The 25,612-nt window shown below is 40.7% G+C and overlaps 1 long non-coding RNA gene across 2 annotated transcripts in view, besides 1 other annotated feature; it reads right to left on the bottom strand.

Moving 5' to 3' along the window:
• LOC105374660 (uncharacterized) overlaps positions 1-25,612 on the bottom strand; it is a 184,231-nt gene that overhangs the window by 95,312 nt on the left and 63,307 nt on the right. The window contains exon 4 of one of the 2 annotated variants that reach the window (XR_007058696.1): positions 24,904-25,035. The exons of the other annotated variant lie outside the window; for it this stretch is intronic. This is a non-coding gene — a long non-coding RNA (uncharacterized LOC105374660). The remainder of the gene's footprint in view (positions 1-24,903; positions 25,036-25,612) is intronic. 2 annotated transcript variants of the gene reach the window in all.
• Positions 19,108-19,402: a silencer, noted in NCBI's record as "tiled region #11758; HepG2 Repressive DNase matched - State 24:Quies, and K562 Repressive non-DNase unmatched - State 24:Quies". NCBI's record gives its function as "represses a minimal TATA promoter and a strong SV40 promoter by Sharpr-MPRA in HepG2 and K562 cells {active_cell/tissue: HepG2 | K562}" and the evidence as "EXISTENCE:reporter gene assay evidence [ECO:0000049][PMID:27701403]".

Genomic DNA, 25,612 nt, shown 5'->3' on the forward strand with positions numbered 1-25,612 from the left:
TAGGTCATGAATATCTTTGTTAGCTTTGTGCCTCAATGATTTATCCAATATCCTCTGTGGGGTGTTGAAGTTTCCCACTATTATTGTATGGTACTCTAAGCCTCTTTGTAGGTGCCTAAGAAATTGTCTTATGAATCTCAGTGCTCCAGTGTTGGGTGCATATATATATTTAGGATAGTTAAGTCTTCTTGTTGAATTGAACCCTTTATCTTTATGTAACGCACTTCTTTGTCCTTTTGTATCATTGTTGGTGTAAGGTCTGTTTTGTCTGAAATAAAGATAGCAACTTCTGCTCTTTTTTGTTTTTAATTTGTTTAATAGATTTTTCTCATCCTTTTACTTTGAGCCTATGTGTGTCATTACATTTGAGATGGGTCTGTTGTACAGAGCATACAGTTGTGTTTTGCTTTTTTATCAAACTTATTATTTTGTGCCTCTTAAAGTGGGGCATTTAGCCCATGTACATTCAAGATTAATATTGATATGTGTGGATTTGGTCCTGTCCTTGCATTGTTAGCTCATTGTTACATAGACTTGATTATGTAGAGTTTTACAATGTCTATGGTCTATGTACTTAAGTGTGTTTTTGTGGTGGCTGTTAACAGTCTTTAGTTTCCGGCCAGGCATGGTGGCTCATGCCTGTAATCCCAGCACTTTGCGGGGCCAAGACAGGTGGATCACGAGGTCAGGAGATCAAGACCATCCTGGCTAACACGGTGAAACCCTGTCTGTACTAAAAATACAAAAAATTAGCCAGGCATGGTGGCAGGCGCCTGTAGTCCCAGCTACTCGGGAGGCTGAGGCAGGAGAATGGCGTGAACCTGGGAGGCGGAGCTTGCAGCGAGCCAAGATTGTGCCATTGCACTCCTGCCTGGGGACAGAGTGAGACTCCATCTCAAAAAAAGTTTCTATGTTTAGCACTCCTTTAAGGACCTCATGTAAGGGAGGTCTGGTGGTAACAAATTCTCTTAGCATTTGCTTCTCTGAAAATAATGTTATTTCTCCTTCCCTTATGAAACTCAGTTTGGCCGGATATAAAATTCTCAGTTGGCATTCCTTTTCTTTAAAAATGCTGAATATAGGCCACCAATCTCTTTTGGTATATAGAGTTTCTGTCGAAAGGTCTGCTATTAGCATAATGGGCTTATCTTTGTAGGTGACCTGCCCTTTCTCTCTATCTGTCTTTAATATTTTTCTTTCACATTGACTTTGGAGAATATGATGACTACGTGTATTGGGGATGGTCATCTTGGATAGTATCTCACAGGAGTTCTCTGAATTTCCTGAATTTGAATGTTCACCTCTCTAGCAAGGTTAGGGAAATTTTCATGGATGATATTCTCAAATATGTTTTCAAGGTTGCTCACTCTCTCTCTTTCAGAGATGCCAATGAATCGTAGGTTTGGGTATCTTTACATAATCCCATATTTATTGTAGGTTTTCTTCATTCTGTTTTATTCTTTCTTCTTTATTTTTGTCTGACCGAGTTGATTTGAAGAACCAATCTTCGAGCTCTGAAGTTCTTTCCTTAGCTTGGTCTATTCTACTGTTAATATTTGAGACAGTACGAGGAAAGACTTCTAGTAACTTTTTAATCTCTATCAGATTAGGCTGGTTCTTTACTACTGTTAATACTTGAGACAGTATGAAGAAAGACTTCTCGTAACTTTTTCATCTCTATCAGATCAGGCTGGTTCTTTCTCAAAATGACTGTTTTGTCTTTCAGCCCTCGTAAAGTTTTACTGGATTCCTTAGATTCTTTGGATTCAGTTTCAACTTTCTCCTGGATCTTGATGATCATTGCCATCCAGGTTCTGAATTCTTGTTTCTGTTATTTCAGCCATTTCAACCTGGTTAAGAACCATTGCTGGAGAGCTAGTGTAGTTGTTTGGAAGTAAAAAGACATTCTGACTTTTTAAGTTGCCGGAGTTCTTATACTGGTTCTTTCTCATCTGTGTGGACTGATGTTTCATTAATCTTTGTAGTTGCTGTTCTTTGGATGGAGCTTTTCACTTTTATATTCTTTGATACCCTTCAGAGTTTGACTGTGGCATAATTTGGGTTCAGTCAACTGGCTTCACTCTGGATAATTTCAGGGAGCCAAGTCTCAGCTCAGCACTCCTGGGCTGTATGCTCTAACCCTGAAGGGTTGGGACTAGGCCCATGGATTTGTCCTTTGGTCCCTCAAGGTTAAGCACCTATTGTGCTGGTGGGGCTGAGGTGTTCCCAGTCCTCTGGTAACAACAATCCAATTGGAGATGCCAGCAAAAGCGCTTCATCAGGGCAGTAAAGTTCAAGCATACATGCTTGTGCTGGCAGCAGCTGGGAGACATTAGTTCCATGCACATGTTTGCAGGCTGGCAAAGCAGTGAGGAGAGGCTGTGGGTAACACTGTGCTGGTGGGGATCCATCTGCAGAAGCACTCCAACAGTTAGATGGGTTTTGCCAGTGAAGGAGCTATTGTAGTGCCCAGTTGGGCATCGGAGCTGTGTTGCAAGTGGGCGGGGCCAGGCAGGGACCCCAGGAGAGGCTGGCAGACAGAGGATGCTCAGATCAGACTGGTCTTGTCCCTTGGGAAAGACAGCCCTGCTTTGTGCAGGTCTGACAGTCAAGAAAAGCCAAAGCCACATGGCTTTGGAACATGGTGAGCCTTAGGGAATGCGTGTCTTTGGCTGTGCCCCACTACAGCTATTCACATGCCAGACCCTCTGGGCTCTATACAGGCTGGAGTCCTGTCTCTGCCAGCTCTCCTTGCAGATCTCGCCACTAGCTCAAATCTCTGTGGAGTCACGAGGTCTCTTGCAGCTAGGATTCTGGGGGTCTATGGCAAGAGTGGGCCACTCCATGACCATTCCGCCCACTCCTTCCCCTGGAGTTACTCAGGGCCAGGAACAAGTTCTGGTGCTCAGCCACCTTATTTATGCAGGGTTCCCAGACTCCACTTCCTTCAGTCCAGGATCTGCATCCTCCATCTGTCCACTCTCAATGTCTTCCTCCTGAAGACGTGCTTGGAGTGCACAGGTCTTTTTGACAGTCTGGTCTCAGTGAGAGAAACTCTTCCCTGATGAATCAGGTCAGCCATCTTGGTCCCAACCCCACGATTTCTATCTTAAGGCTGATTAGTATTCCATTTTGAATATACACCACATTTTCTGTATCAATTTATCTGTTGATGGACACTTAGATTGATTCTGTATCTTGGCTATTGTGAATAAATATGGGAGTGCAGATACCTTCTCAACATACTGATTTTATATGATTTGGGTGCATACCCAGTAGTAAGATTGCTGGACCATATGGTAGTTCTATTTTTATTTTGTTAAGAAAATTTCATACTGTTTTTCATAATGGTTATATTAATTTACCTTCCCACCAACTTGTGCAAAAGTGACTTTTTCTCCACATCTTTGTCAACATTTGTCTTTCCTTTTTTAGATAGTAATCATTCCAACAGGTGTCAGTGTCAGTTGGTATATTATTGCAGTTTTATTTGCATTTCTCTGATGACTAATGATTTTGAGCAGTTTTTCATATACCTGTCAGACATTTGCATGTCTTCTTTGAAAAATAGCTATTTAGGCCCTTTGCCCGTTTTTTAATTGTGTTACTTTATATCAGTCTGTTTTCATGCTGCTGATAAAGACACACCCAAGACTGGGAAGACAAAGAGGTTTCATTGGACTTACAGCTCCACATGGCTGGGGAAGTCTCAGAATCATGGTGGGAGGGGAAAGGCACTTTTTAAATCGCATTGCGGCAGCAAGAGAAAATAAGGAAGAAGTAAAAGCAGAAACCCCTGATAAACCCATCAGATCTCATAAGACTTAGTCACTATCATGAGAATAGTACAAGCAAGACTGGCCCCCCTGGTTTAATTACCTGCCCTTGGGTACCTCCCACAACACATGGGAATTCTGGTACAATTCAAGTTGAGATTTGAATGGGGACACAGCCAAACCATATCATTCTGCCCCTGCGGATTTTGAGTTGTTTGAGTCCCTCATATATTTTAGATATTAACTCTTTATCAGATGTATGTCTTGCAAATATATTCTTCCATTCCATGGGTTGTCTTTGCAAGCTGTTGTTTTCTCTGCTGTGCAGAAGCTTTTTAGTTTAATGCAATCCTATTTGCCTATTTTCACTTTTGTTGCCTATGCTTTTGGGGTCTTAGCCAAGAAATCATTGCCCAAACCAATGTCCTGGAACTCTCTCCTTATGTTTTCCTCTAGTGATTTTACAGTATTGGGTCTTATATTTAAGTCTTCAATCTACTTTGGGTTGATTTTTCACATAGAGTGAAATAATGGTTTAATCTCATTCTTCTGCATGTGGATATCCAGTTTTCCCAGCATAATTTAATAAACTGTTTTTTCTGCCATTGTGTGTTCTTGGTAACTTTGTCAAAGATCAATTGATTGTAAATGTGTGGACCTTTTTCTGAGCTCTCCATTCTCTATCCCATTGGACTGTGTGTCTGTTTTTATGCCACTGTTTTAATTACTATAGCTATGTAGTAGATGTTGAAATCAGGTAGTATGATTCCTCTGGCTTTGTACTTTTTGTTCATGATGGCTTTGGTCATTCAGGGTCTTATGCGGTTTCATACAAATTTTAGAATTATTGTTTCTATTTCTGAAAAATGTCATTGGAATTTTCATAGAAATTGCATTGAATCTGTGGATTGCTTTGGGTAGTATAAGTGTTTTAACAATACCAATTCTTCCAATCCATGAACACAAGATATCTTTCCATTTATTTATGTCCTCTTTAACTTTTTTCATTAGTATTTCATAGTTTTCAGTATACAATTTTTCAACTCCTTGCTTAAATTTATTTGTAAGTTGATTGTTGGTTTTTGTTGTTGTTTTGTAGCTACTGTGAAGGGTATTGTTTCCTTTATTTCCTTTATGGATAACTCATTGTGTAGAGAAATATGAAAAATTTTTATGTTGGTTTTGAATCCTGCAACTTTACTGCATTCATTTATTAGTTGTAATAGTTTCCTGTGGAGTCTTTATGGTTTTCTATTTATAAGAGTATGTCATTTGCAAACAGAAAAACAACTTACTTTCTTCTTTCCAATTTAGATGCCTTTTATTTCCTTCTTTTACCTAATTGCTTCAGCTAGGGCTTCCAGTATTATGTTAAATAGAAGTGGTAAAAGTGGACATCCTTATCTTGTTTTTGATCTTAAAGGAAAAGCTTTCAACTTTTTACTGTTGAGTACGATGTTAGCTACAGGCTTGTCATATATGGCCTATATCGTGCTGAGCTAAATTCCTTCCATACCTAATTTCTTAAGAGTTTTTAGCATGAAAGATCTTGTGTTTTGTCAAATGCCTTTTCTGCCTCTGTGAGATGATTACATGGTTTTGTCCTTAATTTTGTTAATGTGGTGTATCACATTTATTGATTTGCATATGTTGAACTTGTCCTTGCATCCCAGGAATGAATTTCACTTGATAATTTTAAATGATCTTTTTAAGGTGTTGTTGAGCTCACTTCGCTAGTATTTTGTAAATAACTTTTGTATCTATATTCATTAGGAATATCAGCCTGCAATTTTTGTTTCTTTTGCTGTCTTTGCCTGGCTTTGGTATCAGGATAATGTTGTCCTCTTGAAACAAGTTTGGAAGTATTTCCTTCTCTTCAGTTTTTTGGAAGAGTTTGAGAAGAATTGCTTTCTTTAAGTATTTGGGATAATTCAGCAGTGAACCTATCAAGCCCTGGGCTTTTTCTTTGACGGAAGACCTTCTATTATTTTATTATTTTATTATTTTATTTTATTTTATTTTATTTTTTTGAGACGGAGTCTCGCTCTGTCGCCCAGGTTGGAGTGCAGTGGCGCGATCTTGGCTCACTGCAAGCTCCGCCTCCTGGGTTCGCGCCATTCCTGCCTCAGCCTCCGAGTAGCTGGGACTACAGGCGCCCACTATGGCGCCTGGCTAATTTTTTTGGAAGACATTTTATTATTAATTCTGTCTCCTTACTCATTATTAGTCTGTTCAGATGTCTATTTATTTATGATTTAGTCTTGTTAAGTAGCATGTGTCTAAAAAGGTATCTCTATTCCTTCTAGGTTATACAATGTATTAGTGTATAACTGTTCATAGTAGCCTCGTGATCTTTTGTGCTTCCATGGTATCAGTTATAATGTTTCCTCTTTTATTTCTGATTTTATTTATTTGAGTCTTCCCTTTCTTCTTAATCTAGCTGAGGATTTGTTCATTGTGTTTCTCTCAAAAAAAACCAGCTTTTACTTGTGTTGATCTTTTCTATTGATTTTCTAGTCTCTATTACATTTATTTCTGCTCCAATCTTTATTATTTCCTTCTATTAATTTTGGACTTAGTTTGTTATTCCTCTTCTAGTTCATTGAGATATAGTACTAGATTGTTTATTTGGTATTTTTCTTCTGTTTTGATGTAGGGGTTCATTGCTATAAGCTTCCCTCTTAGAAATGCTTTTGCTGGGTCCCATAAGTTTTGTTATGTTATGTTTCCATTTTCATTTATCTAAAGATACTTTTAATCTACCTTTGATTTTTGTCTTTGACTTGTTAAAATAAAGATAATAAGTCTGATGGAATGGACTCTTTGTGGTCATAAGATAACAAATTGTAAATAAGACCTAAGGCTATGCCAAGCAAAGGTTGTTACAAACCCTTACATTTAAAGAATAAACTGTGTTCTAACTGCCATAAGACTTTTTCTTTTTCTCTAGCAGCTAAGCAAGCAATGGCCTCAAGATAAACAGTACAAAATAATTGCCACTCATTGATCACCAGATACGACTGACCAATCCCATTCAATTTCACAAGTTATAACTACAGCCTTGATTGGACAAGAAACTGATTTTAGTAACTTTCTCCTGCAAAAACACCACAGAAAGTTTTGGCCAGCAGCCAAAGTCTGCACATAGACTTTTCTTATGTCCTGCAAAAGACCTCCTGAGGTAAAAGCCAAATTCCACCTATTTTATTGTTAAAACTCCACCCCAAAGTGAACATGGCTTTTATGTATGTTTCCTAAATGTTTTCTCACTATGCAAATATTTGCTCACCTTTATAAATATTCCTAAACTCCCCACTCCTAGCTGACTATGTGTACTAAGCAAATCTTGCAAGGCATAAAGTTCAGATTTTCCCCCATTTTTGGTGGAGCATATACTCTTGGTTTCTCCCAGGTCAAGTTATCCAGATTTGTGAATCATATTTTATTGAAAAATAAAGTTTCTCTTTGCCTCCTCTGTAGATCTCATGATATTTTTGATAACAGGCCCATTGATTCTTTGAGAACCTGTTGTTTAATTTCTACATAATTATGTATTTTCTGAAATTTCTTTTATTACTGATCTCTAGGTTTATACCATTGCATTCAGAAAAAGATATTTGATATTATTTACATCTTCTTAAATTTGTTAAAACTTGTTTTGTGACCTTACATATGATCTGTCATGGATTTTTCATTTAGCTGAATCTTATTTAATAACCAAATAAATGGTCGTGAGAAAGTTCTAAAATATGGTTTACCCTTTCCTGCTTTCTTAAATGGAGTTAGCAAGCATAATGGTAAATTATTCTTTTCTGCATCCACCCCTTGTCAGTATCCGCCACCACACTCAAGTTCCTGTGTACTCTAGCCAAATGGCTGTCTTAACTCTAGAGGATTTACCAAATGCTATGATTTTAATGTCCCCTCTAAATCTCATGTTGAAATTTAATTGCCATTGTTGCAGTATTAGGCAGTGGAGCCTTTAAGAGGTGATTAGGCCATGAGGGCTCCCCCCGCCCATGGGTAGGTTTAATTCCTCTAAAAGGGAGGCTTTGGGGAGTAGATTCTCTTTTGCCCTCATGCACTGTATTGGTCTGTTCTAACACTGCTATGAAGAAACACCCCAAACTGGATAAATTATAAAGTAAAGAGGTTTAATTGACTCACAGTTCAGCATGACTGGGAGGCCTCAGGAAACTTACAATCATGATGGAAGACAAAAAAGAAGCAGGCACATTCTTCACAGGGCAGCAGGACAGAGTGAGTGCGAGCAGAGGAAATGTCAGACGCTTATAAAATCATCAGATCTTGTGAGACTAACTCATTATCAGGAGAACAGCATGGGGGAAGCTGCACCCATGATTCAATTACCTCCACCTGGTCCTACCATTGACACTTGGGGATTATGGGAATTATAATTCAAGGTGAGATTTGGGTGGGGACACAGAGCCAAACCGTATCCCGCACCCTTGCCCTTTGGCCATGTTAGGACACAGCAAGCAGGTGCCAAGCAGGTGACAGCACCGTGTTCTTGGACTTTTCATCCTCCAAAACTATGAGCCAAATAAATCTCTATTGTTTATAAATTACCTAGTTTGTGGTATTCTGTTATATCAGCAGACTAGGAGAACAGACTAAGAGAAAACTAGTACTGAGTGTTGGGATTATTACAGTAACAGACACCTGAAAATGTGGAAAGACCTTCGGAACAGAGGCTGGAAGAGTTTGCAGGAGCAGACTAGAAAAAGCCTATATTGTTATAAATGGAGCATTAAGGGTGATTCAGATGAGGGCTCAGAAGAGGAGAGAGGTGTAGGAAGAGTCTGAACTTCTTAGAGATTACTTAAGTGGCATGGTCAGAATTTTGGTAGCAATATGTACAGAAAAGGCCATTCTGATGAGGAAGAAGATATTGAAAGCTGAAATAAAGGCCATCCTCATTATACAATTGCACAAAAACCTGGGTGAATTGTGTCCATGCCCAAGGACTTCATGAAATGCAGAACTTAAGAGTGATGAATTAGGATTTCTGGTAGAAGAAATATGTATGCAGCAAAGTACAGTGGCTACTTTTATCCACATACAATAAAATGTGACTAGAAGGAAATGGCTTAAAGATGGAACAAAACAATTTGGAAAATCCACAGCCTAGCTATTTAAAGAGTGAAAAGGCACATTTAGGAGAGCAAACTAAGGGTGTGGTCAAGCCACCATTTGCCAAAGAGACTAGTATTGATAGAAGGCAGACAGGTGCTATTCATTAAGACAATAAAAGGAAGACCTCTAAGTCGTTTCAAAGATCTTCAAGGCTATACCTCCCATCACAGGCCCAGAGCTCTAGCAGGGCAGGCTGGTTTTGGGAGAAGAATCCAGGATACCCTCCATGGACTCACTGCCCAGGGCCACTTCAAGGCTGCTTCCAACATTTCAGTGCACATTCTTCAGCTACTCTAGCCATGGCCCAAGTATGCACATGTGTGGCTTGACCCACCACTTGGAAGGTATAAGCAGTAAGACTTGGAAGCATCTATGTGGTGCTAATTCTACAGACGCACAGAATGCAAGAGCTGTAGGGGCATGGCTGTCTCCATCTACATTGCAAAGGACATTGTAGACAGCCTGGGGGTTTAGGCAGAGACTTGTGGCAGAGATAGAGCCACTGCAGAGAGCCCCTGCTAGAGCAATGCCAAGCAGAAATACAGGGTCAGAGTCAACATAGAGAATCCCCACTAGGGCACTGCCTAGTGGAGTTGTGGGAATAAGGCTACCTCAGAGACTCCAGAGCTGTTAGGCTAGCAGCATACAGTGCCAGCCTGGAAGAGATGCAGGCACGAGACACAAACCTGTGAGAGCTGCTGGGTGGGAGGAGTCCAGCAAAGCCACAGGGACAGGGCTGCTGAAGTCCTTGGGGGCGGACCCCCACCAGCTATGCCCAGGATGTGAGACATGGAGTCACAGACATTATTTTAGAGCCTTAAAATGTAATGTTGGTCACCCCATTGGGTTTTGGACTTAACTGGGACCAGTTATCCCTCCTTTCTTGCCTCCTTTTCCTTTTTGGATTGATAATGTCTATCCTATGCCTATCCCATCATTGTATTTTGCAAGTAGATAACTTGTTTTGATTTCATAAGCTCACAGCTGGAGGAAATTTGCCTCAGGATGAATCATGCCTTGAGTCTTATCTGTATCTTATTTAGACAAGACTTTGGGCTTTTTTTTTTTTTTTTTTTTCTGAGATGGAGTTTCACTCTCGTTGCCCATGCTGGAGTGCAATGGCGCCATCTCTGCTCACTGCAACCTCTGCCTCCCAGATTCAAGTGATTCTCCTGCTTCAGCCTCTGGAGTAGCTGGGACTACAGGCACGTGCCACCACGCCAGGCTATTTTGTTTGTATTTTTAGTAGAGACGAGGTTTCACCATGTTGGCCAGGCTGGTCTCGAATGCCTGACCTCAGGTGATCCACCCACCTTGGCCTCCCAAAGTGCTGGGATTACAGGTGTGAGCCACAGCGCCCAGCCTGACTTTGGGCTTTTGAGTTGGTGCTTAAATAAGTTAAGACTTTGTGGGCTATTGGGATAGAATGAATGTATTTTGTATGTGAGAAGAACATGAGTTTTAAGAGTCCAAGGGAAAAATGCTATAGTTTTAATGCCCCTTCTAAAATTCATGTTGATATTAATTGCCATTGTGACAGTAGTAAGAGATGAAGCCTTTACAAGGTGATTAGGCCATGGGGGCTCTGTCTACGTGTGTGGGTTTAATGCCTTTAAATGGGTACTCTCTTGCTCTTGAGTGCACTCTCTTGTCCTTCTGCCATATATTAATGCAGGAAGAAGGCCCTCACAAGACGCTGAGCAGATGCTGGGATCCTGTTCTTGGATTTTCCAGCCTGCAGAACTGTGAGCCAAATAAATTTCTATTGTTTATAAATGACCCAGTCTATGGTATTCTGTTAGAGCCACAGAAAATAGACTGAGGAACCTACCATAGTGGCATGGACTGGCCAATGCAGAAACTTACAATTCATCTTTACATAGAACTCAGAGACTTAGGTGGAACAAGATTTCTAAAGCCTATTCCATAGAGCTTATTCTAATCTGGTCTTAGTCTTCTAGCTTCTGCTTCCTTTGTGGAAGATAAACCCAGCACAAAATTGGGTCCCTATCTAATCTTGCCAACTAAAATTAGAGCAAAAACTAAGAGAAGACACCTCTCCCAAGCCCACTCACTGGGAAGAAAACTTTCCAATAAACTTGCCTCCTCCAAGACTGTTAGATTCATATCATTTAACTGCTCTAGTCAGGAATCTCATACCCATGCACCTAGAAAAAAAAATGGGGAGCTTCCTGTATTTCCTTGATAGTGAAATTTTTCTTTCTTCTAATTTTTATGTCTATTGTAGCTCCATTCTTTCCTTTGTTACCTACCAGGATCCCTCCCTTCTGTGGGAGTGGGAGAAAGAGGAGAAGTTATAGAGCCGAGGGCTTGCTGTTATTTTAAGACCACTCTTATAACCATCAATTACTGCAATGGGTTAAGCCAGACAAACCTGGATTCAAATTCTTGCTCCACAAGTGATGTAAGGATTTGACCCAGATCATGATAGTTCATTTCTTTAAGACTTTGTTTCCTCTTTCACAAAATGGCAAATAATGCCTCCATCATAGCACATTAAATGACTTAGCATGGTACCTGGCACAAAAGTAGCTCCCTTCTTCTCTCCCTGTTTCTTTTAATGGGTATTGAAATAAACAGGCTGACTGCTCCCACACACGATATCCTCAGCAGTACTCAGCTTTTAAATTCTTGCCTCCTCTTTTGTTGCCAGCTGATACTTCTTGCTGCCTGTCTCTTCAGCTTCTAAACAGCTGCTACACTTTTTAGAGCATTTTTTGACTGCTGGCTAAGGGTGCCTCAGCCCTCCTCCCTTGGCGTAGAGTGCAGAGGCTTTGTTACAGATTATCAGTTTGTAGTGGATGTTTGTCATATCTGTTGCTGTCCAGCACCTTTTGAACACTTTTCCTGTGTTTCATTAACCACCCCCTACCCCTGAGGCCAGTTACTAAGCTAGTGTCTTAACACAAACCAATCGTTCTATATTCTGTTTTATGATGCTGGACTAGGAGTCTGTAAACCAGCATCTGCTTTCTTGGCTGCTTCCTGTTGGATTATTTCAAAGGGAATCTAGAAAGAGACTGCAAGCTTTGAGGAATAAAAAGAGACACTGTCCTTCTCTGTGACTTCTGCTCCTATCAGCATCACTCAAGCAAATCTCCTTCACCCTGGCAGTGGCACTTCATTCTGGTAGTAGCAGTTGGTTCCAGTTTGCAATTTTTCCATTTGCACAATTAGTCCCATTGGTCCCCAGCAGAGTCAGTACCAACCAGCCAAGTAGCTCTCCCTTCTCAGGACTCTTGAGTCCCAGCCCAATGGCACCACTCATCTAAGCATCTAAATTTTAGTAACTCCAACTTCTTCCTTTTATTCCCAAGCCCCAGGGATGCTGTCTGTTTCTTGCAGGTGCTACTCTATATACTACTCTATATTTGGGGGCGGGGGGGGTTGCCTTTTCAGTTTCCTAGTCAACAATTCCGTATTAATGCAATTCTTTGCATTAAAATCTCTCTTTAAAAATTGGTCTGAGTATTCAACCCTGACAAGATCCTGACTAAAAATCCCTATTACAAGTCCCACCACTCTGAACTCACTTGCCTAGTGACCATGATGACTAAGGCACAGGCCTTTGCCAGAGTGCCCAACTGGTACTAGTTTGTCTGGGACATCCCTGGTTTTAGCACCAAAAGTCCCAAACCAGACAGTTGGTCAACCTTCCTGTGGCCCATGTGTCAACCATCAGATATATCTCACAATATTCAGAAGAGAGCCATCCAGGGATTTCATTTGTAATTTTTTTTTGGTTTAGAATTAAGATATACAGAAAAAGTCTGTCATATCTTAGTGTTCAACAAATAAGCATATTACTCTTGGAATTCTATAAGTATATTAAATCTGTGACATACGGTCATTGAGAGTACAACTCATATACGGTATGTACTTTCTATCCCCAACATGATTATATTAGTCTTGCTTGGGGTGTATTTTGCCATAGAAAATACCACAGATGGGGTGTCTTAAACACCAGAAATTTATTTTCTCACAGTTCTGGAGACTGGAAGTCCAAGATCAAGGTGCTGGCAGGGTTGGTTTCCCGTGAGGCTTCTCCTCCTATCTTGCAGACAGCTGCCTTCTTGCTGTGTCTTCACATGGTGGAGAGAGAGAGAGCTCTCCGGTGTCTCTTCCTCTTTTAAAGACACTAGTTCTATTGGTTAGGGAGCTACCCTTACCTACCCTATCCCTTTAAAGGTTTTATCTCTCAATACGGCCCCACTGGGGATTAGGGCTCTATATATAAATTTTGAGGGGACACAATCTGGTTCCTAACAATGATCATAAATGAGTTGGGGGTATAAGTGTTGTCCAAAATCTGTGGAATCTGTTTTTAAATTAATAAAAATAAAATAACTAAGAGCAATTCTTATTTTCAAAATAGTTTATTTTTTATTAGTTTAAGCATATTATACCTGTATTCCCTTGCCAATTGAATACCCAATAAATTTTTTCTTTAGAGATTCATATGGGATCCATTTCACTGACATATGAGTTGACATCATTTGTCTGAAAGAGTGATGCAGTTTTTGAAAGATTGAATATGAAGTGTTTCCCATATCCTTTCAGCAGGTGAGAAGTAAAATTTAATGGCCTGATGTAATTTACAATCCTCATACCATGTGTTTGAAATGAACAGCATGGTTTGCCTAGTCTGGCTGTGAATACCTGTCTTGAACCATTTCTGAAATTACTGAAAAGTACCACTGTCTATTGTGGGAAATGCATTAGTATGATTAAGCTCTACTTTAGATGCCATTATGTAATATTTTGTCAATGTGAAATGTCTCATTAATTAATTCTTTTTGGGTTTTCAAACAGGTGCTAAGGGATGCCATCAGCAGGAGAAAGGAAAACAACTTAACCCAAGTAAAATGGGGATAATTCCCACCCCTGCCAGTTTCACAAAGCTTGAAATGAGAATGTGGACATGCTAAAAGCATTGGCACATTTAAATTGAAAAAAAAAAATCTTGTGGTGTATATTTTGCAGGTAAAAAGTGTGACAAAATTGCATTTCTGGCAAAGCAGGAGAAGGAATGATGGCTTAATCTTATTAATCTTGTTTTTCTCAAAGTTTAGGCCTTTTTCCCCATTATGGTAAGGTTGCCATGACAATCCAAGACAATTGAGTCTCCCCAGGACAGAATGATTCATTAAGGTGAGGACAGAGAATGAAGGTAATTATCACATCTAAATCACTGCCCCAGGGCCTTACCAAGTAGGAGATGTGACTTGCCAGTGTGTTACCAACAGAAAATTTTGACCACTATAAATGTCACCAATTTCATAGCTCTTGTCCCGGCAGGGACAATTGCAACTCAATGATCAGACATACAATATTATGAGTCAGTTAAACAATTTCCTTAGCTGAAGATTAGTAAAAAGTAGGCATTAAATATTAATTAAGATAAGAGAGGAGTAATGCAAAAAATCACATTCAGATTTTTAGTTAGCTCGGCTTCCCTGCCTTCTCTTAGTCACAGCATACCCAAAGGTCCATGCCTCTCTTAACATGGTTAACTACTATTCAACATTAAATTCTCAGTTAAGATTTTGCATTCTCTAAAAAGATGATTCTGGCAACCAAAATCTAAGGGCAGCATGGAGTTCCATAATCCCCTGTCCCATTCTTATTAAGGATCTTCCCATGCTATTTCACTACTGACTTCTCTGAATCACCCCAGTGGACTATAAGGTTATAAGGAAAAGAAATGTATTTTTCTTTCCTCATTCATTCATTCATTTATATATTCAGACAATCAACAAATATTTATTGAATACCTGCTGCATGCCACCTACTCTTATAGAAACAGGGACATCACAGTGACAAAATGGGAATGTCCCTGACTCGCAAAGATTGCATTCTAGTAGAAGAGTCAAATAATAAATTAATGCATGTGCAAAATAGTGTCAGGCAGTCACACTGTGGCTCCTAGCAACCTACAACAGAGGAGAGAGAATCAGGAGGGCATTATCTTATTTAGGGCGGGTGGTCAGGTAGGGCCATGCTGAGGAAGTGGGAGAGATGTATGCAATTACCTCAAGGATTTGCTTTCCAGGCAGAGTGAAAAGCAAGTGCAACAGTGCTAAGATAGAAGCAGGCTCTGCTGGTTGAAGACATAGCAAGAAGGCCAGTGTGGCAAAGCAAGAAGTGAGTAACTGTAGAAAATATGGGAGAGAGAAGGTCAGGAAACAGACTCCATGGGGCTTTAGAACCATAATAAAGATATGAGAATTTAAAACTCCGGAGGAGATAAGAAACCTTGATGGTGTTTTACTGGCTGGGGATTAGGTTAAGAGTGGAAGAAAGGAGAGCCCTTAAGAAGCTACTGAAGGAGTTCAGGCAAGAGGGGATTATGTCTTGGAGTAGAGGCGTAGAAGCAGCGACTGTGACAGGCAGTTTGATTTAGGATGTATTTTAAAGGTAGAGTCAATGGTGCTGCTGATAAATTGGTGAAGGAATGTTACAAAAAGCAAAAAATAAAGATGACTCCTTTGGGCTTGAGCAACTGGATGGGACAAAGATGCCATTTAGCCAGGTGAGAAATGCTAGGGAGGGAGCAGATTTGCACAGGGAGGAGGGAATCAGAAATTCTGTCTTAGGAATGTTAGGTTTGAGAGTGGTATGAATAATATCCGAGTAGAGATATCAAGTAGGAAATTAGATATACACAGCTGGAGCCTGTGTTACACATTTATGGATTGCTGGAATTTAAAGGGTGTTAAAGCATAGGATTGAGATTACTTAGATTGGGGTCCATGAACTATGGCTTGCAGCCAAATCAGGGCACCTTCCTGTTTTTGTTCAAATGCTGTATTGGAACACAGCCACATGTATTCATTGAGACGTTGTCTGTGGATGCTTTTGTGCTACCCTGGCAGAGCTGAGTAATTGGTGACAGAGACTGTGCACCTAGCAAAAGCCTAAAATATTTACTGTGGTCATTTACAGAAAAAAAAAAAATATGCCAACTCCTGACGTAGAGATAAAGAAGAGAGGAGGTCTGAGGACTGGGCCATGGGATGATCCAACATCTCAGAAGTCAGGGAGAGAAGGAGGACACAGATAAAACAATACAGAAGGAGCAGGAGTGAGACAGCAGGAAAAGATTTTTTTTCACACTTGTACTCTTCAGTCCTAGAACAGAGGCCACACAGAGAAGATGCTCAACAAATATTGATGAGATGTCCAATTAAGGAATAAATAAGTAAATCAAGTATTAAAAAATTTAAGCAGCCAGGTGCAGTGGCTCACGCCTATAATCCAAGCACTTTCGGAGGCCAAGGTGGGTGGATCACGAGGTCAGGAGATCGAGACCATCCTGGCTAACACAGTGAAACCCCGTCTCTACTAAAAAAATTAGCCGGGCTTGGTGGTGGGCACCTGTAGTCCCAGCTACTCAGGAGGCTGAGGCAGGAGAATCACTTGAACCCGGGAGGTGGAGGTTGCAGTGAGCCAAGATCGTGCCACTGCACTCCAGCCTAGGTGACAGAGTGAGACTCTGTCTCAAAAAATAATAATAATAATTAATTAAAAAACAAAAATTAAGCAGCTGGAAATGTTTTGTATTCCAGTCTGCCAATATGGTAGTCTTCAATATGGTCCTTTAATATGATCCAGTCTTCAATATGATCCTTTGACAAAATATACTGAGGCTACCATGAGGTTTTCAGAGAGAAAAATGATATTTTTAAACTCATGTATTGGTAAGATGAAAACAGCAAACTCCAGACTCAACTTTTGATCTTCCAGATTTCCCTTTTCATCCCAAAAATAGCTTCTGTGTACTTATATTGCAGGATCCACAACAGAGAAGGAATGAATTAAAATGAAAGGGCACACATTCACGCTGCTCTTCACGGTCTACCGGTGCAGAAGATGGGCGCTTCAAAAGCCAATTTGTGTAGTGTAATTTATTCTAGCTGCCCAGTGGAAGTAAGTCATACCCTTGGGCCCTCTCATAATGCAGGTTATTTTATTTTTTAAGTTGGATGAGCATTTCTCACATCATTCAGGTGCACTAGGTATCTAAGAGAAAAATCTCTCACCCTGGGGGTTATATGTACTCTGCTTCCCAGGACTCAGGCTTACTACCAGATGGACTATGCAGCAGTTGACCCCTTTCCCTGCATTCAGCTGAGAACCTTCCTGAACAAGAAGCCTTCATGAGAGAAAGGATGAACAGGAAAGCAGTTCCCAGTCAGGAACCCCTTTGATATTTTACAGGATATCTCTATCTCCAACATATTCCATAATGCCAAACTTTCTATAAGATGTTAAGGAAGTACATTCAATGTCAATGGTAATAAGCATGAGCCTGCACTGAGAACCTGCTTTGCTACATTGTCTTAGGAAATCCTCACAACAGACTTTGGAAGAAGAGTTATTTTCTTTCTATACAGAAGGTCACTTGAGCTCAGTGAGGCGTGGTAGACTTACTCACTATTACCCAACTTGTAATGTGAAGAGCCAGATTGTTACCCCAAATCTTTGTGATTCTTTTTTCACATCACCCCATGCTTCTTCAAGGCACACTACTGAACTATAAATGGAATAGAAAATAAATAACGTTTCTCAGGACTGAGTTAAACCATTTCTTTGTCCACTCAAAGCATAGATCCATTTTCCTCCTGACTTGCTTGGGTGGAGATAAAGTCAGCCTCAAATCAAAAGATCTAATGCCAATAAATATTATTGTAATTAACGTAGGTAGTTTTTGAGACCCAGATAAGCTATCAATTCAGCTTGATTGGGTAAGATCACGTAGCAGCGCCTAATTTAGAAATCATGCATGGTTATACTGATAAGTTTTTATTTCTGCCGAACTTTATGCCAAGTAAATGCTATCTACCAAGAAACTTCAGGGTGCATTTCCTTAATCTTTACTAATTATTCTGTTGACTAAGTGAAAATTAAAATTCTTATCCAGAACAAGCACTTTCTAAGAACTATCTTGTGCCCTGAGGCATCTTTCATGTGAGGTAGCAGATGTCTCACCTGACAGTCTTTGGCAAAACTTTTCATCTTTAATCTGCAGGTTTAAATTCTGCCATGCTGTTTTTTAATCATCATTTAACTTCTGTTCTTACTGTTTCATTTATCCTGCAGTTCCGAGTGGAGCTGTGTGATTCTGGAAATAATATTCTCTAGTGTAAGTGTGCTCATTTTAAAAAGTAGAAAAAAATACTTTCTCACATACTTCAAACTTATAAACTATTCCAAGGTATCTACTTTCCCCTCAGCCCTGCAAAACACCATTTAATACATCTGTCTTTTAACACAATTCATTTTTCTCTATTTCTTATTTATTCATCAGTTCCCACTTAACAATGGTTAAAAGAAATGGGGTGATGGGTCTTTTCTCTCTACCATATTCTCTTAGATTTTTGTTAAATTCATTATACTTTTATAACAGTTTATCAGGAATCTATTATATGCTTTGTACAAGGATAGATAATTTGGTGAATAAGAAATATATATTTTATATATCTGCATAAATACATACTCACATATATAAAACAATAGATTATAATTTCAGATTGTAATAGAGATGCTGAACTACTTCTACAAACTTGGTTAAAAGACTGTTTACTTTTCTGAATAGTCATCCTCTTTGAAGTTATTAGCTGAGGGTAGAAGAGGCCACTTACTATCAATTCATATCCATACTGGTAGACAGATTATCGGGCCCACAAAGATGTCCACACCATAATTCCTGGAAACTGTCTATGCAGATGTGATTACCTAGAAGACCTTAGAGTGGGAAGATTATTGTGGGTTATCCTGGTGGACCAAATGCCTTCTCAAGAGTCCATATGAGAGGAAGGCAGGAGGGTCAGAGTCAAGGAAATGTGATGATGTGAGCTGAGTGGGGAAAAGGCAACAAAGCAAAAAGAGAGAGAGATTGGAAGATGTTGTGCTGCTAACTCTGAAGATGAGAGAATGAGCCACAAGCCAAGGAGTACTGGCAGCCTCTAGATGCCAGAAAAGGCAAGGATTGGATTCTCCCCTGGAGTCATCAGAAGCATCACAGCCCTGCCAACCCTTTTTAGATTTCTAACCTATGGAACTCTATAATAAATTTGGTCGTTTTGAGCCACTAAAGTTGGTGGTAACTTTTATAGCAGCAATAGGAAACTAATGCATCTACCAAATCAATTCTGACAAAGAATAAAATGACAACTGTCATAGTCAGGTTGCCTTGACACTGGAGTTTGTGCAATCAAGACTTGTGCATAAGAGAGAACGAACCTTCACTGATGTCCATGGCTGTAGGCCAGTGCCTCGTGATCCTTATGGTCATTGTGTTACACAGTAGTATCAACCTTTTGTGGTTTTGCAAGTCTCAGTCTGTCTCAGAAGGCAGAGCATATGTGTTTACCATAAAGGAGAAATCATTCTCAGTGTCAGTCATGTGAATAGAGGCACGTCTTCAAAGCTGTGAGTCCAAGAAAGGGAATTCAGTGCCTCCCCTTTGATCTGGACGCTGAGGTGACTAACCAGAGCAGAAGGGATCAAAGCAAGCTTTATCCTGTAGAATCATGCCAGGAACCAGCAAAACAGGACCTTGGAAGTCTGTGATTTTCCTCTGGAATCCAGGCTAGCATGCCTGGTCTACAATCCTAAGGGACTGACTATATTTTATAAATGCATTTATTTTCATCTCTTACTTGTTAGTAAACTAGGAAAAAGGTTCCATTTTTTGCGACTTTAAAAAATGCATTTTCTCAGGGAATCTGTAGGATATTTATGCAGGAATTGTAAAAGATATTTATATAAGGGGTCATCTTTCCACATTTGAGCCAGTATTTTATAGGAAAGGCCAGCATGACTGCAGCAACAGCAATTAGAGAATAATCCCAAGTGATTTTCAGGGATCTAGTCTAGGACGGGGACTGGATGTTCTTTTCCACCAGCTCATTCTCTTTTTTCTGATAATCTTGAGGATGCCAGTTTTATTTTTATTGAGAAAAGCTGCATTTCAGGGCAGCATGGTGAGTGCGGTGGGAAAGCAGGAGCACACTCACATGGATTGGAAAACTTAAGGGCAGCAGGGAGACAGGAGCCAAGTCTTAAAAGGTAAAAGGATCTGAATAGGTAAAAAGGAGGAAGGAGAATGCACTGGGCAGAGAGACGACTGTGAATGTAGGGAAGGCAGCAGGAATAAACCCCACTGTATCCCTAGAGCCCCAGGTGCTGACTGGAGCGGGAATTAAGGCAGGACCAGGTAGGACTGTAAACTATTACTAATGGGGTGTACAGCAGGAAGCCATTCTCTCTCCAGGAAGTGAAACAACATGATGACATTAGTGTGCCAGGAAGACAGGTGGCAGTAAAGAAAGACAGCATGATGGGAATATTGACCAATCACAAGAAAAGGCTGGTGTGCAAGGACCACCTATGCAAGCATGGTAGGCACAGGGATAGAGAGGAAGATGGGATGAGCCTGATAATACATGGAGGAAAACATGCCAAAGCTTAGAAGTACATTGGATATAAGAAAAATGGAAATAGATGAGGGTACGTTTGAAAAAATACGAAGAATTTAATAAGGCAGGTATATCAGTTTGTTAGGGCTGCTATGACAAAGTACTACAGACTGGTGGCTCAAACAACAGAAATATATCCTTTCACAACTCTGGAGGCTAGACGTCTGAGAGCAAGGTGTCAGCAAGGATGCTTCTCCTGAGGCCTCTCTCCTTGGCTTGTAGATGACCGACTCCTCCCTGTGTCTTCACATGGCCTTCCCTCTGTACCTGCTCTCCTCTTCTTAGAAGGACACCAGTCATATTGGATTAGGGCCCCCTCTAATGACCTCATCTTAACTTAATGGCCACTTTAAAAACCCTATCTCCAAATACGGTCACACTCTGAGGTACTGAGGGTTAGGACTTCAACATACGAATTTTAGGGGACCCAACTCAGCCCCTATCAGTAAGGTAAATTGGGGAGAGGGAGCAAGAAGACAGTAAGTTTAATTTTGAACAAGTTGAATTAAGGAGCTATCAAGCGAGCCTCCTACAATCTCCTGCTATAAAGGTTCCTAAGTGGCAAAATTACTTGCAGTCCCCAAAGGATGATTCATTTGTTTTAGGAACTGCCAAGGCAATAAAATGTTGGGAACTCTAGAAATCAATTTCCTATGGATCCTGAAGCCCAGAGAGACTCCTAATTTTCTGTAGCACTCTACGACGCTTTTATACCAAAATGTCTCACAGTGTGTTCCACAGGTCATTAGCCCCATTAAATGCGGCGTAATCACAAGCTTTCTGTAGCCAAATAAATTTGAGAGGGCCTGCATACTATGGTATCCACCTGGAGAACCACAATGCACATTGATAAAGGCAATTAGAAATCTTTCAGCAAATAAATGGCAGGGTTTGTTTTTGCTTAATCTGCGTTCTCAATCTGATTTGACCATAAACACTTTTGCTTAATATAGTCTCTTTCATGTCCTACAGAATAGAGTTCTGTGAAAAGCTGTTCTTAGACCTATCTTGAAACTTGAATTTTGGCCTCAATGTCCCCACATTAGGATTTTGAGTATAACATCATCAGGGCATGAGATAGCCCTCTGACACCTAGAAATAATGTATGCTGAAAGCACCAAGCTATGGAACCTGCGATAGGGAGAAGAAAGTAATGAGGGCAGCTGTTCTCTATTGCTCTAGGCAGAAAGAATAATGCCCCCCACCACATACACACACACACACACACACACACACACACACACACACACACACACAAACACACAAAGATCTCCACATCCTAATCCCTGGGACCTGTGACTAGGTTGTTGTATGGCAAGGGGAAATTAAGTTTGTAAATGAAATTAAGGTTACTAGTCATGTGACTTTAAAATAAACAGAAAACAGATTACATGGGATTATTCCAGCAGGCCCAGAGTAATTACCATTTTTCTTAAATGGGTGACAAGGCAGTAAAAATGGCAACACTAGAAGAACTCCACTGGCCATTGCTGGCTTTGAAAATGGAAGCAGGCCATGGGCCAGGACATGCAGATGGCATTTGATATGGTCAGGCTTTGCATTCCCACCCACATCTCATCTTGAATTATAATCCCTATAATCCCCAAGTGTCAAGGGAGAGACCAGGTGGAGGTAAATGAATCATGGGGCAGTGTTTCTCCCATGCTGTTCTCATGAAAGTGAGTCAGTTTTATAAGGGGCTCTTCCACCTTCACTACTTGCACTTCTCCTTCCTGCCACCTTGGGAAGAAGGTGCCTTGCTTCCCCTTCACCTTCCACCATAATTGTAAGTTTCCTGAGGCCTCCCCAGTCATGCTGAACTGCGAGTCAATTAAACCTCTTTCCTTTATAAATTACCCAGTCTCGGGCAGTACTTTGTAGTAGTGTGAAAATAAATTAATACAGTAAATTGGTACCACAGAGAGTTGGGTGCTGCTATAAAGATACCCAAAAATGTGAAAGTGACTTTGGAACTGGGTAACAGGCAGAGGTTGGAACAGTTTGGAGGGCTCAGAAGAAGACAAGAAGATGTGGGAAAGTTTGGAACTTCCTAGAGACTTATTAAATGGCTTTGACCAAAGTGCTGATACTGATATGGACAGTGAAGTCCAGGCTGAGGTAGTCTCAGATGGAGATGAGGAGCTTGTTGGGAACTTGAGCAAAGATGACTCTTCCTATGCTTTAGCAGAGACTGGCAGCATTTTGCCCCTGCCCTAGTGATCTGTAGAACTTTGAACTTGTGAGAGATGATCTAGGACATTTGGAAGAAGAAATTTCTAAACAGCAAAGCATTCAAGAGATGACTTGAGTCCTCAAAAGCATTCAGTTTTATGCATTCCCAAAGAGATGGTTTGGAATTAGAACTTATGTTAAAAAAAGAAGCAGAGCATAAAATTTTGGAAAGTTTGCAGCCTAATGGTGCAATAGAAAAGAAAAACCCATTTTCTGAAGAGAAATTGAAGCTGGCTGCAGAAATTTGTATAAGTAATGAGGAGCCAGATGTCAATTGACAAGACAATGGGGAAAATGTGTCCAGGGCATGTCAGAAATCCTCATGGCAGCCCCCCTTTCAAAGGCCCAGAGGCCTAGGAGGGAAAAATGGTCTTGTGGGCCAGGCCCAGGGCCTGGCTGCTTTGTGCAGTCTCAGGATTTCGTGTCCTATGTTCAAACCGTGGCCAAAAGGGGCCAATGTACAGCTAAGGTGTTTCTTCAGAGGGTGCAAGCTCTAAGCTTTGGCAGTCTCCATGTGATATTGGGCCAGCAGGTGCACTGAAGTCAAGAATTGAGGTTTGGGAACCTCTGCCTAGATTTCAGAAGATGTATGGAAAGGTCTAGATGTCCATTTAGAAGTTTGCTGCAGGGTTGGTGCCCTGATGGAAAACCTCTGCTAGGGCAGTGCAGAAGGAAAATGTGGGATCAGAGCCCCCACACACAGTCCCCACTGCGGCACTGCCTAGTGGAGCTGTGAGAAGAGGGCCACTGTCCTCCAGATGCCAGAATGGTAGATCCACCAACAGCTTGCACCATGGGCCTGGAAAAACCATAGACACTCCACATCAGCCCATGAAAGCAGCCAGGAAAGCTTTACCTGCAAAGCCCCAGGGGTGGAGGTGCCCAAGGCTGTGGAAGCCCACCATTTGCATCAGTGTGACCCGGATGTGAGACATGGAATTAAAGGAGATCATTTTGGAGCTTTGAGACATGACTGCCCCGCTGGATTTCAGACTTGCATAGGGCCTGTAGCCCCTTCATTTTGGCCAATTTCTCTCATTTTGAACAGGTGTATTTACCCAATGCCTGTACCTGCATTGTATCTAGGAAGTAACTAACTTGCTTTTCATTTTACGGTCTCATAGACAGTAGAGACTTGCTTGTCTCAGATGAGACTTTGGACTTGGACTTTTGAGTTAATGCTGGAATGAATTAAGATTTTGGTGGAGTGTTGGGAAGGCATGATTGGTTTTGAAATGTGAAAGAGACATGAGTTTTGGGAGGGGCTGGGGTGGAATGATATGGTTAGGCTTTATGTCCCAACCAAAATCTCATCTTGAATCATAAAACCCATAATCCCCATGTGTCAAGGGAAGGACCAGGTGAAAGTAATTGAATCATGGGGGCAGTTGTCCCCATGCTGTTCTTGTTTTAGTGAGTGAGTTCTCATGAGATCTGATGGTTTTATAAGGGGCTCTTCCCCCTTCACTCAGCATTCTCCTTCCTGCCACCTTGTGAAGAAGGTGCCTTGCCCCCCTTCAACCTCCCCCATGATTGTAAGTTTCCTGAGGGCTCCCCCATCATGCTGAACTGTGAGTCAATTAAACCTCTTTCCTTTATAAATTACCTAGTTTTGGGCAGTTCTTTATAGCAGCATGAAAATGGACTAATACAATGTCTAAAAGCTGGAAAAAGCAAAGAAAATAGATTCTCCCCTTGGGCCTCCAGAACGAATACAACTTTTCTGACACCTTGGTTTTAGCCCACTGAGATCATTTTAGAGTTCTCACCTCCAGAACTGTAAGAGAATAAATTCATATTGTCTTAAACCACGTTTTTTTTTTCAGAAATTTCTCATGGGAGTGAAAAAAAAAAAACTAATACAGAACCTCACAGGATAATTTAGAAGGCTCTTATGAATTGTTGATTTCTAAAGGTAAGTTACGTCCTTGCTAGAGAAGTAACATAATAGCTAAACACAAGTGCTTAGTATTTATTTTGCATGCCAGTGATATTTATAATCTAGCTTTGATTATAGGAGAGCAAGAGCAATGCCATCCTAATTATCAGATCTTCTTCACAGATCAGAGAATAGTATATCTGTTATCTAGGGATGTTTTATTTATTGATTGGAGTTAATTTTTCAGAGCAAATCTGTGATTAAAACTAAGATGATAGAATATCACACATCAAAGATGTGGACTTTGTTTGATTCACTCAGACCAGGCTCAGTCATACCTGCATTTGTTACTCACCATGCTGGGCTGAACGATAACAATTCATTCCCCAAATATTGATTGTGCTGCACCCACCACCACTTCCCAGGCACTGTTCCAGGCACTGTGATGGAGACAAGCAAGGTTTCTGCTCTCATGTAGTTTACATTCCTGCAGAAGTGAACAGCCAACAAAGGAAGCAAATAACTAAATAATATTTGCTTCTCAGGCAAGGGGTGATGTATTCATTTCCTGGGGCTGTGTGGATTTAACAACAGAAATTTACTGTCTTATAGTTCTGGAAGCTAGAAGTCTAAAATCAAGGTGTTGGCAGGGTTGGTTCCTTCTGAGGGCTGTGAAACAGAATCTATTCTATGCCTCTCATGTAGCCTCTCATAGCTTTGGGTGCTTCTTGCCTTGTAGATGACATTCTCCCTGTGTCTTCAGGTTGTCTTTCCTCTGCACGTATGTGTCTCTAAATCTAAATTCCCCCTTTTTCTAAGGACACTGATCATACTAGATTAGAACTCACCCTCATAAACTCATTTTTACTTGATTATCTGTAAAGACCCTATTTCAAAATAAAGTCACAATCATAAGAACTGGGGGTTAGAACTTCTATATCTTTGCAGGGTGGGGAGCACAACCCAATTCATAACAAGGAGGTTGGGAAGACCCTGAAACCAACTCAGTGGAAGTAGGGAGGTGCTAGTTGAAGCCATGGAGATTCCTCCAGCCAGCCCTTCCT

The sequence above is a fragment of the Homo sapiens genome, chromosome 5 (genome assembly GCF_000001405.40).
Source record: "Homo sapiens chromosome 5, GRCh38.p14 Primary Assembly".
NCBI lineage: Eukaryota > Metazoa > Chordata > Mammalia > Primates > Hominidae > Homo > Homo sapiens.